Below are 18,710 nucleotides of genomic sequence, written 5' to 3'. Positions count from 1 at the left end.
AAAAGAGTGAACAATGTTAAGTTAGCCTACCTTTTGGCCATCCCTTCCTTGGAAAGAACCAGTGTTTTCTTATAACTTTCCAGAGATTAGTCATCTAGATACAAGTATGTATATATGGGAGAATTTCTCATATTTGGGTGATATGGTCTTTTTCTCTTTTCTTTTCTTTTCTTCCGGTCTGTCTTTCTTTCTGTCCTCGTCTCGTCTCTTCTCTTCTCTTTTCTTCATTTCTTTTGATGGAGTCTTGCTTTGTCATCCAGGCTGGAGTGTAGTGGCGCAATCTCGGCTCACTGCAAGCTCTGCCTCCCAGGTTCACGCCATTCTCTTGCCTCAGCCTCTGGAGTAGCTGGGACTACAGGCACCCACCACCACGCCCAGCTAATTTTTTGTATTTTTGTGTTTTTAGTTCCTCTCCTCTCCAGGAGAGGAACAGGGGCCACAGGGAGCTGATCATGAAACACACTGAGGGTGTTTCATCAGGGAAGTGACAGGAGCATAGTCACATTCAGGAAAGATCACTGCCTCTGGGAAGACAGAGGGTCAGGGCAGAGCCTGGAGGCCAGGAGAGTGCCACCTTCAAACAGGGTGGAGGAGGCACAATTCTGGACAGGGATGTCCATGGCCAGAGGAGTGATCCAGCTCCTAGAAGATGAGGAGAGACCGAAGGTGAGGATGGCTCTTCAGTTTCAGGTTTAGGCACCTGGACAGATGGTCTTGCCTTCTCCAGCGGCAGAAAGCACTGAAGGGGAAAGAGGTTGGGGGAAGGGACTGTGTAGGCTGAGCAGCCTAAGTCTGAGAAGCTGGGCCACTTGCAGGTGTTGGTCCAGGGTGCAAGTGCATTTGGTGAAGGGGGAGACTAGGAAGGGAGGAGAAAGTCTAGTCTGTTACTAGACCTCACCATGCTGCAGGTGTCTGGGCCAGCAGGTCGCAGCCGGAGCTGTGCAGCTGGCTGCTGTCACATCCCTTTCTCTCCCAGCTGCCTTCAGCTGAGCTTAACGCCAGCAGAGGCCGAAACACTTCACAAATGCAACTTGTCAGCTGGGAGGTGCACTCAGAGCTCAGGAACACTGTTTTCCCTCTTTATTGTTTTCCATCATTTTTTTTTTTCAGTCTGGGTTTTGGGCCCCGTCAGTTCCTTTTCTGTTCAACACTGAGCTATGTATCCACCCCTCTCAAGGTTGAAAAAGAGAAAGACTGTAAAAGTGCCCTGCAAAGAAGAGGCTTCCAACTCTCTGGGGGTGGGGGGGGGTGGGGGGCTCTCTTCCTCCTCTTGTCTTCTGGGTTCATTCCAAATTATTCCCCAAAGGAAAAATCACTGAAGGACTGGGGGCGGTGGTGGGGAAAAGGACAGTCTCCCAAGAGGTCAGGTGAAGCCCCAGCCTCATGGTGTTGAGGGAGGGGCTGGGGGAAGCGGGAGCCTGTTCCTAGGAGACACTGTCTACTGGACACCTCATCCTAGAAGGCTTCCCTGAGTTCTGACACTGTTCTAGGAGTAGGAATCATTATCCCACGCTGTGGAGAAGGAAACCAAGGCCGGGTAAAGTAATGTAGGGCCCTTAAAGTTGCAGAGCCAGGAATAAAGTCCGGATTGGGACTCAGGTCTGTGGGCAATCCAAGGCCGTCCCCTTTACACTTCAAATGCTCTTTCCCCCTCCGGAAGCCCTCGCGTCCTCATCCCTACCCCACCTCTTGTTCCCCAAGCGTGGCTAGGGCTAGGGCTCCAGGGCTACACCAAGCACCCTTCGGTCTTCCCGGGAAGAATTTTCCCCGGCCCGGGGCTAGGGTCTGGCGCTGGGGCGCTCCTGGGACCTGCGGGATCACCACTACACTCTGGCGCGCCGAGCGCGGTGAGCTAGGGCGCCAAGGCACAGGTGGGGCTGGAGTCCAGCGCGGAGGCGCGGGGGGCGGGACGCGGGGCCGGGGAGCGGCCAGGGACCGCGGCAGCGCCGCAGTGCCAGCCCGGCGCTGGCGACTGCCTGCCCCAGCCCCTCAGTGGCGGCTTGCTCTCTTCTCTCGCTCCGAACCAGACACAGCCGCTGTCGCTGCCATGTGGCGCGCCGCAGACTCCCGAGAACAGCCCTGGCTGTCAGCGGGCACCAGCCGCTTCCTGTGCCCATCGCGTAGACTGGAGGGGCGCACCACGGCCACCGAGCCAGAGGCGCTTCAGGAAGCAAGAGAAGTCCCCGCGCGCTCCGGGACCCGGCGCAGCTCATGGTGAGCGCCCTCTAGGGCTCGAGGGTCCCTTGGCTGAGGGGGCGCATCCTCGGGGTGCCCGATGGGGCTGCCTGGGGGTCGCAGGGCTGTAGTTGGGATCGCGCACAAACCGACTCTGCGGCCCAGCCCGAAATGCTGCCGCCAAGGAGCAACGGCACCGCGTACCCGGGGCAGTTAGCGCTGTACCAGCAGCTGGCGCAGGGGAATGCCGTGGGGGGCTCGGCGGGGGCACCGCCACTGGGGCCCGTGCAGGTGGTCACCGCCTGCCTGCTGACCCTACTCATCATCTGGACCTTGCTGGGCAACGTGCTGGTGTCCGCAGCCATCGTGCGGAGCCGCCACCTGCGCGCCAAGATGACCAACGTCTTCATCGTGTCTCTACCTGTGTCAGACCTCTTCGTGGCGCTGCTGGTCATGTCCTGGAAGGCAGTCGCCGAGGTGGCCGGTTACTGGCCCTTTGAAGCGTTCTGCGACGTCTGGGTGGCCTTCGACATCATGTGCTCCACCGCCTCCATCCTGAACCTGTGCGTCAGCAGGTCATCAGCGTGGCCCGCTACTGGGCCATCTCCAGGCCCTTCCGCTACGAGCGCAAGATGACCCAGCGCATGGCCTTGGTCATGGTCCGCCCGGCCTGGACCTTGTCCAGCCTCATCTCCTTCATTCCGGTCCAGCTCAACTGGCACAGGGACCAGGCGGTCTCTTGAGGTGGGCTGGACCTGCCAAACAACCTGGCCAACTGGACGCCCTGGGAGGAGGCCGTTTGGGAGCCCGACGTGAGGGCAGAGAACTGTGACTCCAGCCTGAATCGAACCTACGCCATCTCTTCCTCGCTCATCAGCTTCTACATCCCCATGGCCATCATGATCGTGACCTACACGCGCATCTACCGCATCGCCCAGGTGCAGATCCGCAGGATTTCCTCCCTGGAGAGGGCCGCAGAGCACGTGCAGAGCTGCCGGAGCAGCGCAGGCTGCGCGCCCGACACCAGCCTGCGGTTTTCCATCAAGAAGGAGACCGAGGTTCTCAAGACCCTGTCGGTGATCATGGGGGTCTTCGTGTGTTGCTGGCTGCCCTTCTTCATCCTTAACTGCATGGTCCCTTTCTGCAGTGGACACCCCAAAGGCCCTCCGGCCGGCTTCCCCTGCGTCAGTGAGACCACATTCGACGTCTTCATCTGGTTCTGCTGGGCCAACTCCTCACTCAACCCAGTCACTATGCCTTCAACGCCGACTTCCGGAAGGTGTTTGCCCAGCTGCTGGGGTGCAGCCACGTCTGCTCCCGCACGCCGGTGGAGACGGTGAACATCAGCAATGAGCTCATCTCCTACAACCAAGACACGGTCTTCCACAAGGAAATCGCAGCTGCCTACATCCACATGATGCCCAACGCCGTTCCCCCCGGGGACCGGGAGGTGGACAACGATGAGGAGGAGGAGAGTCCTTTCGATCGCATGTCCCAGATCTATCAGACATCCCCAGATGGTGACCCTGTTGCAGAGTCTGTCTGAGAGCTGGACTGCGAGGGGGAGATTTCTTTAGACAAAATAACACCTTTCACCCCAAATGGATTCCATTAAACTGCATTAAGAAACCCCCTCATGGATCTGCATAACCACACAGACATTGACAAGCATGCACACACAAGCAAATACATGGCTTTCCAGTACTGCTCCCTTTATCATGTGTTTCTGTGTAGTAGCTGGTGTGCTTAGAAACCTCACCCCATTGATTGATAGTTCAAAGAATTGGCAGAAGCAGTTGCAATAAACTCAGTCAAATGTACCCAGCCTACCAGAGATGGAACAATGATCCTGTGAGAGAAGAGAGTATGGTGCTGGCTCCTTAAAAAAAAAAAAAAAAAAAAAAAAGATACTTGGTCCTTAAAAAATATGCTCTCCCCTCCCTTTTTAAACAAATGGCTTTTTCAGTCACTTGTTTGTGTTTGAATTGATTTTTAAACAGCAGGTTTTGTGTGTGTGCAGTGATGTGGTGGGAGCACAGCTTTCCTGGGTCTGGATTCCCGTGGCTTTGTGCTTGTGTCATTTCTTCTCTCTGTGCTGGTGGGGGTCTCTTTACCATAGCTTAAGAAGTCTCCCTGATTTATTCTGGTATCTAATAAACACAGATTATTTGTATTATGTGGTGACTATCTTTGCTTTGCTACACTGGGTTTCAGGATTGCTTCTGAAGAAACGATGAGTGCATCCTTAAAATGCAAAGAAGACATTTGCTGGGTCTGGAAGTACATGCTTATTCTCTTTACAGTTTGGCCTTAAAGATACACCAGGGCAAAGGACCTTGAGGAGCTTCTGTTTTCTCAGGTTTCTTTTTATTACTTATACACATGTTGGGTCTGTGCTGAAACCTGGCTTCAATGGCATGGCATTAGATCTTCTCAAGCCCAGATTTTTTTTTTCATTTGGAATCTTTTTTGAAGTAACATGAGACAACTCTCCTTATTCCTAGACAGATGCGATCAGTTCATTGAAAAGTTCATGTAGAATAATATCTTGAATCTTTCTCCATCTGAAATCTGTAGCATGTTTTAGAATCACATGGCTTTTGAGAAATCCTGTTTTCTGAAGGGCTTTGAAATGTGTGAATCAAGATGCTTTAAAAAAGAAATCTATTTTTAAATAGGCATTTTCCTTAGTGGACAATAGCAAATAGAGAAATGCTTTTTAACTAAAATGTAGAAGCCAGAGATGAAATGTGAATGAACTTGAAATTGGAAAATCTGTAGGTCGAGGTGCTCAATAGAAAAGCCCAGCTGACTCCAATCATTTTGTTTTTCCTCTCTGCAGTGTGCACAGTCAAGGGGAGTGTTTTATTCCAGACCCACACCAGTTGAGAGCATAGTATTACCATCAGATCTAAATATGAGCACTATTAATGGAAGCAAATGAAATGTGAATATGCAATTTCTTGCAAGTCCCTGCTTTGAAGCAGTTTTATCAAGGACAGTTCAATCAATTTTGATCTCTCTAAGGCTAATTTTATTGTCAGTCTTCTGTGCAGCCAACTGCAAAATGTGCAGCTCCTGGCACATCGTACTTAATAAATATTTGTTGAATGAATGACTATTCTGGAATAGTGAGATTGAAAGCAAATCCTATTCGGTACATCAATTTTTATATATAATTTAGTCAAAATGATACTGGAATCTGAGGCCCGTGTTCAGTTTCTGACCTCCTGTGAATGGATAGCTAAGTGAACCATTAGGCAACATTAGGGGCAGTGAAAAGCACACAGCTCTACGATTCAGGAGATGGTCGCATGACCTTGAGTGAGTCAATTAACCTTTCTGGGCCTCATTTTCTGTCTGTGTCTGTAAATGGAAGGACTTCAGCTGGATCACTGTTTACCCAATTGTGCTTTGTGATGCAGATGTTAATGGATGGGGTCTCTGGTGAAATAAGTTCAGCAAACCCAGGTTCAACACCTGTTTTCTCGATAGGACTTCTTAGAGCTTCTCCTGTGCATGATGCATCCTCCAGTGCGAGAAGATTCTGTATCATTTCCCAATGCCATTCACTTTGTGAACCTTGTTTGGTGGAATTCCTGTTACTGTTTCACTGGAGTCCACAGTCACTACTTGAGAAACTCAAATCTAACTGATCTGGAAGTCTTTACAATATTCTGTTCTAAAGCATGGGTTGCTATAAGCAAAATCTTTTGTGAAAAACACTGTTCTAGGCTCCAGTTTAAATAAGTTCTGTGTTATGGAAAATGGGTTATGTGAGGACTTTGGAATTTCCTTCTGTAAAATATCACTCACCATTCATTATAATTATGTACTATGCTCTAGGCATTGTTCTAGATGCTGGGAATATAGTTGTCAATCAAATTCTCTGCTCTCTTGGAACATTTATGTGAGCTGTGGGAGAGATAAGCCAATAAAGAGATCTGTACTATACTGCACTGCATTGCACTGTGCTGTACTGACCAGGATAGATAATGCCAGGCAGGGGTAATTGCTATGTTGCAAAAAGCCCAGGGTGAGTAGGGTGGTGAAGCTGCTGTTTTATTTATGGTGGTCAGGGGAGGACTTTCCAAAGAGCCACATGAAGAGAGACCTTGATGAAGTAAGGATTGGAGGGCTGCTAATGTCTGGGAAGGAGAGCAATCCAGGCAGAGGGAGTGGCAAGTGCAAAGGCTTGGAAATGGGATTGTTCTTGGCACCCTCAGAGGAGTGTGGCTGGAGGGCTATAAAAGAGGAGTGTGATAGGATTAATGTTAATTGCTGTAGCAGCAATTGCAGCAGGCATGATGGAGACCCAGCCTGTGCTGGGTACAATACATGTATTAATTCATTTCACTCTCATTGCCCTGTGAGGTAAGCACTTTTATTACCCCATTTTACAGATAAGGAAATGAAGGCATTGGCAGGCTAAATAACCAGCCTGTGGTCACATAACTCCTGAGTGGCAGAGCTCAACTTGAACCCAGGTAGCCTGGCTGTGGAGTCTTTAATCCTAACTGCTCTTTGATGGTGAGAGAGGATGCCAGGACATCTTCAGTCAGCAAATGCACTAGTGCACAGATCAGGACATTCAGTTTTTTGTTCATTTGTTACTGAAATGGTTAATTGATTCATCCCCACAGCTATACAACAGCAGATCTTCACTGTGTACCTCCTCTGTGCACAGCTTTGTGTTTGGAGGGAAGGCACCCTAGGGTTATGGGCAAAGTAGCTCTTACATGATGGGCCAATTGCTTTCCTGGATTCTTATTTATTCCTCACATTAACCTCACATGTTATTATTTTTCCATTTTACAGGTGAGGACATGGGGGCACAGAGGACCTTGAGGACAAGGTTGTTTGTCCAAGGTCATGTGAAAAGTAAGTAGTGGAACCACGGTTCACCCTAGGTCAGTGGTTCTTAAATGAGGGAACTTTGCACCCTGCACCCCCACAGATATTTGGCAATGTCTGGAGACATTTTTGGTTGTCACAACTGGGTGTCAGGTGCTCCTGCCGTCTTCTGGGTAGAGGCCAAAGATGTTGCTAAACAACTTATGGTGCACAGAGAATTATCCGGCCCCAAATACCCATCTTGCAGCACTCGAGAGGCCTTGGCCAGGCGGGCAGACTCCAGGTCCCAGCTCCCCATCCACAAGGCCACCTGCCTGGGATTGGAGGCTCCGGTGCCCTAAGTTTGAAGTTTGGCTCCACCATTTATTAGTCTTCTGAATTTGGGCACCTTTCTGAGCTCCAGCTTCTTTATCTGAGCAATGGGCACATGAACCACACAGAGCGTGAATTACACAAAACACATGCCCCAGAACTTCCTTGTTCTGATACATGCTGAATGTTCTTTTATAATTAGGCATCCATACACCATATTCATTGGTTAGAAATGAGTCATTACGTCCAAATCATATTCAAGGGGAGGTGATTAGACTTTACCTCTTCATGGGAGGAGTGCCAAAGAATTTGCAGAAGAGATGTTTTACATTTTATGCTTTATTTTTAAACACTTGTTCTCACATAGTTTCAGACTTACAGAAACCTTGCAACACGGTACAAAGAATTTCTAAATATTGTTTACCCAGATCCCCCAAACATCAGGGTTTCACTGTATCACTTATCTCTGTTCTTCCCTTTTTCTTCTGAGTCATCTAAGGTGTGATGCCCATTTACTCTTGAATATTTTGTTGCATATTTCCTAAAAACAGGGAATTCTCTCGTCTCATCTACAGACTTTATTCAGACTTCACAATAATGTCCTTTATAACAAAACAATCCAAGACCATGTGTTGCATTTAGCTGTCCCCTGTAATTTGAAAGTTTCTGCTGCTTTGTCTTTCTTGACACAGACCTTTGTGAAGATTACCTGGCCAGTTACTTGGTATAATTGTCCTTCAACTTCGGTTTTTTGGTGCTTTTCCATGATCAGATTCTGTTATGCATGTTGGGCAGGAATATCACTGATGCCATGCTGAGCTCCTGTAGCTCAAGGCATGAGGGGCAGGTGCTATTAATTAGTCCCATTACTAGCAATGTTAACTTTGTTCATGGGGTTACGGTGCTGTCCACCGTTTTACTCTTTATAATTAATATGTATTTCCTTTGGAGAAATACTTTGAGACTATGAAGATATCCTATTATTTCTCAAACTTGCATCCATTGGTTTTAGCATTTATTAGTAGCCCTTCCCTGAATCAGTTATTACTGTGGTTGTCAAATCATGTTTTTTAAAAAAATTCTGTAATCTTTCTAAATGTATTGTTGGTTTTCTACTGTAAGGAAGAACACTTGTTTATATTATTGACATCGGCATAGAATCTTGGTTTTCTAGTTTTCTGTTTGTTTTTGAGACAGGGTCTCACTCTGTTGTCTAGGCTGGAGAGCAGTGGCATGATCACAGATCACTGCAACCTTGACTCCAGGGCTGAAGTGATCCTCCCACCTCAGCCTCCCAAGTAGCTGGGACCACAGGCATATGCCACCATGCCCAGGTAATTTTTTTTTTTTTTTTTTTTTTTGTAGAGACGGGGCCTCCCTATGTTGTCCAGGCTGGTCTCAAGCTCCTGGGCTCAAACAGACTTCCCGCCTCAGCCTCCCAAAGTGCTGAGATTTACAGGCTTGAGTCACCATGCCCAGCCCGGGTTTCTAGTTTTTATAATAGGTTATAATCTTTTACTTGACGCTGTTAATGGATACTATTTTTACATTCCAGGTATGGGACCTGGGGACACATGTGTCCCATTTCTATGATATTAACACAATGCTCATTCTAGGGGCAACACTCAGAACACTGTTTTCTATTGTCTTCTAAGACTGTCCCTGACCTCAAATCTCTCAGTGAACTGAGGGTATCCATACTTATCATGATATTTAGGTTGCCCTAGATTTGGTGAGTGGGAGCCCTTTAAGTTGGTTCTTGTGTCCTTTTGACATGCTGTCATTATTCTTTGAGTAGTTTGTTACTTTTCAACATGAGATATGTCAGACTCATCTTGTGTATTCCCTGTCCAAGCCTTGGAATCATCCATTTTTCCAAGGAGACCAGGGTTCCTTCTAGCAGAAAATGATATGGAGAAATCAAGATGTGGGCACTAGGGTGTTTATTGTTACTGGGGTGATATTGTTTCTATATCCTCTTAAAAGACAGAGTTGGGAAATGGATACATGTATATACATGCACACATATTCATATGTGCATATACACATATCCTTGAGCATCTCTATCTATTTCTATGCCTACCTATGTACATATATCAAATCCCATGCACTCATTTTGATATCTAGCAGACATATTTTAAAAACCATCACCTCTGGTTCAAATCTCGATTCTCTAATGTTCTAGTTCATGAGAACTGGAAGTCAAAGAGATTAAGTTACCTTCCTAGGTTTAAAAAATATTAAAAAGGGAATAATTAGTTGCTTACCTTGTAGTTTATTGTCAGAGTTATGTGCTATGATGCATGTGGAATGTGTAAGGGTGTTACACAATGAGAATTTAAAAATGGTCTTCTTGTGACTGTGCCCTTAAGAGCTGAGAGTACAGGGCAGAACCTTCCTGTTTCTATGTAGTGGTTCCATGCTCCATTTTACAGACAGTGTGAGAAGCTACTAGGGATCAAGAATTCAAGAGTCAATATGCAGGAGAGGGATAGAGTAGCTGAAGAGCAAACTAGACTTGCCTACACCTAGAATAGGAAGAAATAGCACAAGATGTCAAGCTTGATAGGAGGAAGTTGTTGATATGAGGGGAGAGTTAATCAGAGAATGTTGAGCCCATGTGGAACCCCCTGGACCTCTAGGCCAATTTGGGGGAAGGGCTTAAAGGGAATATGAGTACCCCTACTCACAAGAGCAGGCAGAGCCATCAGACTTTTGCTTTGACACTGTTAATGAAGTACCATTTTGATATTCCAGGTATGAGACCAGGGGATGCATGTCTCCCATTTGTAGGATATTAATAATACAATGCCAGTTCCAGGGAAAACACTCAGAACTTTGATCTGATTCTCTTCTAAGATCATTGCTGTCCTAAAAACTCTTAGTGAACTATGAGTACCAGCACTCCACCAACACTGACAGAATAAAGGTGACAACCAGCATTTGTTGACTATCTATTGGGCAAGGTGCTTTGTATACATCTTCTCATGGAATCACTGCAATATTCTTGTGACATAGGCACCATTGTCCTCATTTGGAAAAGGAGGCTGAGAGAGGCTCAATAGCAAGCCAGGTTATACTTCTAGTAAGGGATAGAAGTGGGATTTGAAGAGCATCTACTCCTGGAGAGCCCCCCTTTTGGGCTTTACACAACTCTTTGGAGGGACTCAGGAAGAGGAGAGCTCCTTCATGTATATTGCCCATGGGTCCTCTCCAGGTGAAGTATTTTGAGGTTCTGAAACCATTATCAGACTTGGCTGTAAATTCCCTCTCCATCTTGGACCTTTTCCTGTGCTCTTCCAATGGCCCTTTCCAATGGGTAATTAGACCTCAGTTGTCTACATGAGTGAGATCTGCTCAGCATGGAGAGGGCTCTATTTTTCTACACCCTTGATAATTTGTAGGTTTGGGAAAGCATGCCCAGTGTGGCTTGTCAGGGCTAACACATATGCCTTCATTCATATGTCAACTTGGCTTCATGGGTAGGGGCTGCCTGGAGTCCTGGGATGAGAAAGACTACACAATTGCATTCCAACCAATGACATTGAGGGGACTGGCTAATAAATGATTTCTGTTAGGAGCTTGGGAGGTGGGGGATGTGTGAATGTTCTAAGTACTTGCCATTCTGTGTCTCTCCACAGCCCCTAAACCTGTCTTTCCTAGAACCACTTGAAAGTTAAAATATTGATGTCTGGGGCCCACTCCAAATTAGTTAAATCTGAATTTCTAAGGAATAGGACCTAAGCTTCACTTTTTAAAAAAAATTGAATGTGTTAGAATGTATATAGCCACAATTGAAAAACACCATTGGTCTACACTATCATTAGGCATGTTTGAAAATTATCTGCCTTGACCCTGCCCTGATCTTGCCTTTGCTACAATATTAAATGGGCTCTTATTAACAATGAATATATCTAATTATTCTCTAGATCTTTTATTAGCTTGAATTATTCTTAGATATTCTGCCACATAAAAGTATTTGAATGTGTAGTCTTTGTGGTTGATGGTCTAATCAGCTAAACTCAAACCTCACTGCAGCTGTGACTAGAAAGTCCTCATTGATGGAGAATCCTAGAGGTCCTTTCAGAGAAGAAAAAATAATTCAGTGGGCCAAGCTGTAATATTTTGCCTCTGATTCTCAGATTCCTTGTTGGCAAAATGGGAATGCAAAATAAATAGAGTCTATAGTCAGTACCTAATAAGTATTTGTTGAATGAATAAATTAGTGGAATACAAAATTAAAATACTTGTCTCATCAAACATCTAGAGAAAAAGGAGACAGATATAGAGCTAACCCATGCCTGTTATACCATTTAATGCTAGGAGTATGGAAGCAGATACTGTGTCTCTCTAGTTTCACAGGCTCTCAGAGAGAGAGGAACTGTACTCTAGGAGCTGCATGTGACTAGTCATTCTCAAGAAGTCCCCACCCCAATACCTGATTTGATGAGATTCTGAACTTTAGTTGATGCTGAAGGGGGAGGAGATTTTTAGGGATCTTGGCAGGACACAAGTGTATTTTGCATGGGGTGGAGGATGTGAATCACTGGGGGCTGGAGGACAGGCTTCCCAGCAGCCCCTAAGATGGCCTCCAGTGATCCATGTCTCCTGGTATTCATGCCCTTGTATAATCCTCTCCACTCCCTTATATCTTGGCTGAACCTAATGTCTTGTTCCTAACAAACACAATATGGTGAAACTGATGAACAGCACCTCTGAGAAGTTACAAAAAGAAAATGACTTCCATCCTGCTCACCCTCTCTTGCTCTCTTGCTTTCTTGTTCTGATGGAAGCCAGCAGCCATGTTGTGGGTGTTCTATGAAGAGGCCCAGTAGCAAGAAACCAGAGGCTGGGGGAGTGTCTGACCAAGAGTCAGCCAAAACCTGAACCTGCTAATAATCACATGAGTGAGCTTGGAAAGGAAGCATCCCTCATTTGAGCCTTCAGATGAGACCATAGCCTTATATTACTCCTTGATTGCGGCCTTTGGGAGACTGTGAGCCAGAAGACCCAGCGAAGCTTTGCCTGGGCTCCTGACTCATAGACACTATCAGAAAAACACTTGCTGTTTTAAGCTGCTAAGTTCTGGGTTAATTTGTTATTTAGCAATAGATAACTAATATAGAAGAAAAGGGAGAGAACATTTATTGAATCCTTTGCTATGCCCCAGGTACTTTGTAAATCTTTTTCCATTTCATCCTTAAGTCAACCTGGATGAAAATATTCAGGTTCAGAGATGCTGGGTGAGTGCCAGGGGCAGGATATGAATCACTACTGTTTGATTTGAAAGCCTGTGCTCATTTCTCTATTCCAGGATGCAAACCAGGAGACGTTTTCTATTCTATGTTTCTTTTTCCTTTTCTTTTCTTTTCTTTTTTTGTGGCAGGGGGACAGGGTCCTGCTCTGTCATCCAGGCTAGAGTGAAGTGGAGCAATCATGGTTCACTGCAGCCTGAAACTCTTGGGCTCTGGTGATCCTCCTGCTACAGCCTACCAAGTAGCTGGGATTATAGGCATGCGCCACCACACCTGGATAGTTTTTTTTTTTTTTTTTTAATTTTTATTAGAGACTAGGTCGCACTACGTCACCCAGGTTGGTCTCAAACTCCTGAGCTCAAGGGCTTCTTCTGCCTCAGCCCCTACAAAGTGCTAGGATTACAGGTAGGAGCCATTGTGTCCGGCCACATTTTCTCTGTTCGTAAAGTCAGCAGTAGAATAGCTAACATTGTTGCTAAACAGTTTGTATAAAATGAGTAATTATTAGTGCCCCTGCATGCAGCCACCTGCTGTTGCTGACCTTCTGTGCCTCTGCAGCCAAACATACATCAGGTACTTATGTATACACACTCCACAGGCACACAGATGCCTCCACAATACACATGTGCCCAAGATGCAATTGCAAGCACACAAGTGCACAAATAAGTACACACATGTGTCTTCACAAAGAACTATCTCCACCTTCATTTTCTCCCATCCAAGTACTAATCAGGTCTGACCCTTTTTAGCTTCCAAGATCAGATGAGATTGGGCATGTTCAGGGTATATGGCTGTAGCCTACATCCTCTTTTTTTTTTTTTTTTTTTTTTTTTGAGACGGAATTTCGCTCTTGTTGCCCAGGCTGGAATGCAATGGTGCTATCTCGGCTCACAGCAACCTCTGCCTCCCGGGTTCAAGCCATTCTCCTGCCTCAGCCTCCGGAGTAGCTGGGATTACAGGCATGCGCTACCACGCCTGGCTAATTTTGTATTTTTAGTAGAGATGGGGTTTCTCCATGTTGGTCATTTTTAAATGAAAGACCCTTTGAGACAGTTCATACCTAAATATGTAAATAGTGCACAAGATTTTGCAGCCTGAACAGAAATGGCCACTATAGTTTTTTCTCTTTAGCAATTTTCTGTGTGCTGTAAACAAATTTGAAATCTGGCTAGAGACTTTGGAAATCATGTTGACCACTCCCCATATTGTGCAGATGCAGAAATTGAGGCCCTGAGGGACTTGCCCAAGTACCCCAGCAAAGTGGTGTGAACTGAAGTCCAGGTCTCCCAACTCCCAGTTGACTGTCCTTGCTGTGGCACTGTGCACCGTCGGTGGGGAGAACACTCCTGGTCCTTAGGAATCCATTTCTAAAGGACATCAGGAGCACAAACAAGTTCATGCCCTATTGTTCTTTCCACGTAAAAGAAGTTGATGACATTTATGCTTTTCTCACAATACACCATTAAGATAGAACATTGTTGAATTATTTGTGGATTAAATACAGATGTGCAGGGATTTTAGGGCCCTGATTGATTTTCTGTTGAAAGAAGCGAAAGGAATGTTAATTTACAACTGGCAAATGTTAGCTCTTAGGAGGAGGCAAAACAGCATTTCGAAGGCCTGTTTTTTGTTTGGTTTTGGTATTTCATGAAAGAGATTTTTCTGTGCAAAGTGGCAGGAAGCCATTTTCAACAAGAGCTAAAGGGAATGAAGATTTAAAAAATGGACCAAAAACAAACTCAAAGGTGCCAGGCCTTTGTTACTGCAAGCCCCTCTTGCAGGATGAGAGGCTGCTAAAACAAAATCAATAATTTAAGCAACTTTCTGTCCCTCTCTCCCCTGCTATTCTGGTAAAATGATTTGACATTTCAGACAACAAGGAATGAACATCAGACCAGGAAGAAAAGGGCTTGGTTATGAGTCCCAGTTGTGTGATTTTAAGTACATGATTAAACGTTTATTAATTTGGTTCTCTCATCTCTAATAATGAAACCATCACTCTTACATCTTGAGTGTAAAAAATGCTCATTTACTAGAACTCGCCCTGTATCAGATGCCACATTAGGATTTGTGCGGAGTGATCTCATTAATTCCTTTTTTTTTTTTTTTTGAGATGGAATTTCACTCTTGTCACCCAGGCTGGAGTGCAGTGGTGCAATCTTGGCTCACTGCAACCTCTCTCTGCCACCCGGTTTTGGTTTCAAGCGATTCTCCTGCCTCAGCCTCCCAAGTAGCTGGGATTACAGGCGCCCACCACCATGCCCGGCTAATTTTTTGTATTATTAGTAGAGACGGGGCTTCACCATGTTGGTCAGGCTGGTCTCGAACTCCTGACTTCAGGTGATCCACCCACCTCGGCCTCAAGTGCTAGGATTGCAGGTGGGAGCCACCATGCCCAGCCTCGTTAATTCTTTATAGCAGCCTTGTGAGGAGGTCTGTTCATTCTCACTGTACAGCTGAAGGTGCTGAGGCTCAGAAAACTCAAGCTTGTCGCTCAGGGTCACACAGCTAAGAAATGACAAGGTGGAGATTTAAACCTATGCTTGTCTGGCTAGGCACTGTCTTATATAGTAAGAGTGTGGGGATGACAGATTGCAAAACAAAGCAAAATAAAACTCACAAGCTCTGAAGATGTAGTGACTGCCTACTCTGCCCCTGTGCTAGCGACCCAGAGTTAAAGATGGGTTCTCATCATGGTCTCTGCTTCTATGGATCCCTCAGTGGCTTGAGAGGAAAGCAAACCTGGTGGTGGCAACGAGGGCATCTAATATTTTGGATTCCATTTTGGACTCATGTTTAAAGTGCATATGGGCTATACAGGTGGGTGTATGAGCCGAGGACAAGAGCAGAGGTCTGGGTTTGGGACCAACATCACCAAAGATGATAGCCAACACTGAGTGACTGCTGAATTTGTGCTGGGCACTGTGCCAAAGAGTTCTCAGGCATTAACCCATTCTTTTTTTTTTTTTTTTTTTTTTTTTGCGGAGACAAAGTCTCACTCTGTCACCCAGGCTGGAGTGCAGTGGTGTGATCTTGGCTCACTGCAACCTCCGTCTCCCAGGTTCAAGCAATTCTCCTGCCTCAGCCTCCCAAGTAGCTGGGCCTACAGGCATGCACCACCACACTCAGCTAGTATTTTTGTATTTTAGTATAGACGGGGTTTCACCGTGTTGGCCAGGGTGTCTTGATCTCTTGACCTCATGATCCGCCTGCTTCGGCCTCCTAAAGTGCTGGGATTACAAGCATGAGCCACTGTGCCTGGCTGCATTAACCCATTCTATCCTCAGACTGATGCTGTGAGGCTGCTGTCCTTACCCTGCTGTACAGAGCAGTGAGAAAACTTGCTTGTAGGTGAAAGTTAAAACTTCAAGGAGGATTTTTCTTGAAAGCCATCCCAAGGTTTTTCTATTTGGTGATTCATGATCAATCTTATGCCCCAAGTCCCCACATTCCCTCTATTTTGAGTCACTCTGTCTCATAAGAGCCCCTGGTGCCTTTGTTTTGCTTCATTTGAATTCTGGATTCAGCATGCATCAGAAATGTTCTCGCTGAGAGCTGGAAAGCATTTTTGTGATGGCTGGGCTGCAGGGCCATTAAGAAAATACCTTTGCACACCAACAAAAAAGACTAAAGCCTTAATTGCTGATCCAAAAGGCAACAGGAAAGGATGCACCACTGCATATATGGTGAGGGATGCATTGCCTTGGTCAGGGCACAGGTCCTCTGTCCCTGAGTCCTGTTTCCTTGTGTGGGTAGAGGGCATTTTCACACTCTCTGTCCCCAAAAGACCTCAGGGGGAACAAAAGAGCAGCATGAGCAGGGGGCCATGGTCATGGGCATTGACTGGGTGCTTGCTGCATGCAAAGGCTCTGTGTTAAGCACCTTGGGAACACTAACTCATTTACTGTCCCAACAAATCCAGGATGTAGGTACAAGTAATAATCCCACTTTACAGGTGACAAAAATGAGGAATAGAGAGGTTTGGTGATTTGCTCAAGATCACACAGTATGTGTGGCACAGCTGAGATTCTGACCCACAGGTAAGACTCTTGAGCTTATTCTTCTCACTGAACCCCCTGCCTCTCATGGTTATGTGGCTCATGCTCCCATAGCCTTAAGTCCTGAGGCTAAGGAAGGGTCCTCAGATAAAAGACGTCAATTTCTGTGTCTTTTTTGAGCAGGCTTCATGAACATCAACACTCATTTGAGGTTACTGAGAGCATTTGCCTGGCCTTAACATTGTCATCCCAAAGCTGTTTGCCAATTCATTCCCATCTTCATAGCCCTGTCTTTCTCCAGCAGGCTTGGTCTGTGGTTCTAATGAACACAGGAGGCTTGGTTCATTCGGATGCAGGAAGTGAGGAGGAATAACATGAAGGGGATTGACCAGATGCCTCAATTCTAATCAGCTGAATGGAGATACTTATGATACCTCCTTATGCAGTGCTGTAACGATTAGATGGGATTCTTTATATAAAGGACTTAGAACAATACCTGGCATGTTGTTAGTACTCAATTAACTTTATACAATATATTAGTCAGGCTTTGTTGTGATGATGCCACATAAAAAGTAATCCCCAAATCTCAATGCTAACAACAACAAACATTTACTTCTCATTTCCATAGGTCAGCTGTGGTTCTACAGGGCTCTTCTGGGCTGGCTAGATTCAGATGGGCCTGGATCTGGGTGGTGAATTGGGTTCCTATTTGCTTCACTTGGCTCTCAGAAGAGGATCCAGGGGAGTAGCAGCAGCTATCTGAAGCATGTTCATCTCATGCTGGAGGACAGGATCACCAGAGGCCATGCAGGAATATTTAACACCTCTGCTTGGATGTGGCATTCACTGAGTCACCCACATTCCATTAGCTGAAGCAAGTCACATGGCTAAGCCCAATGTCAGTGGGGTGGGGAGGTACACCACTTCCATTGAAAGGAGGGAAAACAGATGTTTGCTGAACAATAATACAATACTATGATCTATCACAATACTATGATCTACCATTATACTATGATCTACCATTAACATTTCTTGAATGCCTAATAGCTCTCAGGAAGTGTTCCAAGAATCATGGATTCTAGAGATGAATCACATAGCAGCTCTGCTGTCTGCTCTCAAGGGTGCCCTCACTACAGAGTGTGGTCACTGCAATGACAAAGGTGGCCCCAGGACAACTTAACCTCTCCTGAACTATTTTAATTCTCACAATTTCCTTGTAACCCCAGTATCACTATCCTTATTTTATAGACAAATAAACTGGGACTCAGAGAGGTTCAGTAATTTTCTTTTGTCCCCATGGCTAGAAAATGGCTAAGCCTAGTACCAAATCCTTGTGTGATTGTTCCAGGGTTCTGTTCTTTGCATGACAACTCTGGACTCAGGTATGTAGGCAGAGACATTAGAATTGAGACAGAGACTGACCAAAACTCTCATATCTTGGCAGGAGCCCAAGTCTGCATATGTATGAACCTCATCCATATATATGCAAGCTGTGGCTGAGACATCTGTAACCTAGACTTTCATAGCTGGGCTACTAACTTCAATCATCTGAAGGAAGACTCAAGTTATAAACTGCCACCAATTCAGTGAATTATCCATAAACTTGTTTCTATATTGCCCTATGATGCTCAGTTCAAGCCCAAGTCAAATGCTCCCTCCTGAAAACTTCTCTGATTCCCTAGCCACCAGTTTCTGCCTGTGTTGCCTGTCCACAGCACCAAACACTTAAGACACTTTCTCCATGATCCTACAATTTTTTTTTTATTTTTCTGAGACAGGGTCTCACTCTGTCACCCCGGCTAGAGTGCAGTGGTGCACATGATCCTACAACCTTGATGTATATATTTTAGGCAATCACTGCTCACAGAAAGCCCATATTCTCCTATTCCACCTCCACAGTCCCCAGAGTTCCAGCCCAGTGCTTGGCATTCAGCAGGGGCTAGATGAAAGTGTGTGGAATGAGTGAATGAACGACGGATGGATAGAGGCTGCTGGGTCCTTAGGAAAGAGAGCAGATGAGATTTATTTTTTATTTTTGTCCGTATCTCCTCTTTGGTCCTTTGGAGGGATTTTAGTCAGGATGGGTCTGGTGCAACCAGGTGATCCAAGGGTTATA

The 18,710-nt window shown here is 45.8% G+C and overlaps 2 pseudogenes across 1 annotated transcript; one reads left to right on the top strand and one right to left on the bottom strand.

The window, feature by feature from the left end:
• Window positions 1–1,849: 1,849 nt before the first annotated feature.
• On the top strand, window positions 1,850–4,078 carry LOC101060524 (D(1B) dopamine receptor-like; annotated as a pseudogene). The gene has a single exon (NR_111000.1). The product of NR_111000.1 is annotated as a D(1B) dopamine receptor-like (transcript).
• Window positions 13,286–13,395, bottom strand: RNA5SP529 (RNA, 5S ribosomal pseudogene 529; annotated as a pseudogene).

The sequence above is a fragment of the Homo sapiens genome, chromosome 1, assembly GCF_000001405.40.
Source record: "Homo sapiens chromosome 1, GRCh38.p14 Primary Assembly".
Classification (NCBI taxonomy): Eukaryota; Metazoa; Chordata; class Mammalia; order Primates; family Hominidae; genus Homo; species Homo sapiens.
The sequence above is the reverse complement of the archived record's forward strand: the minus strand, read 5'-3'. Positions and strand labels throughout refer to the sequence as shown.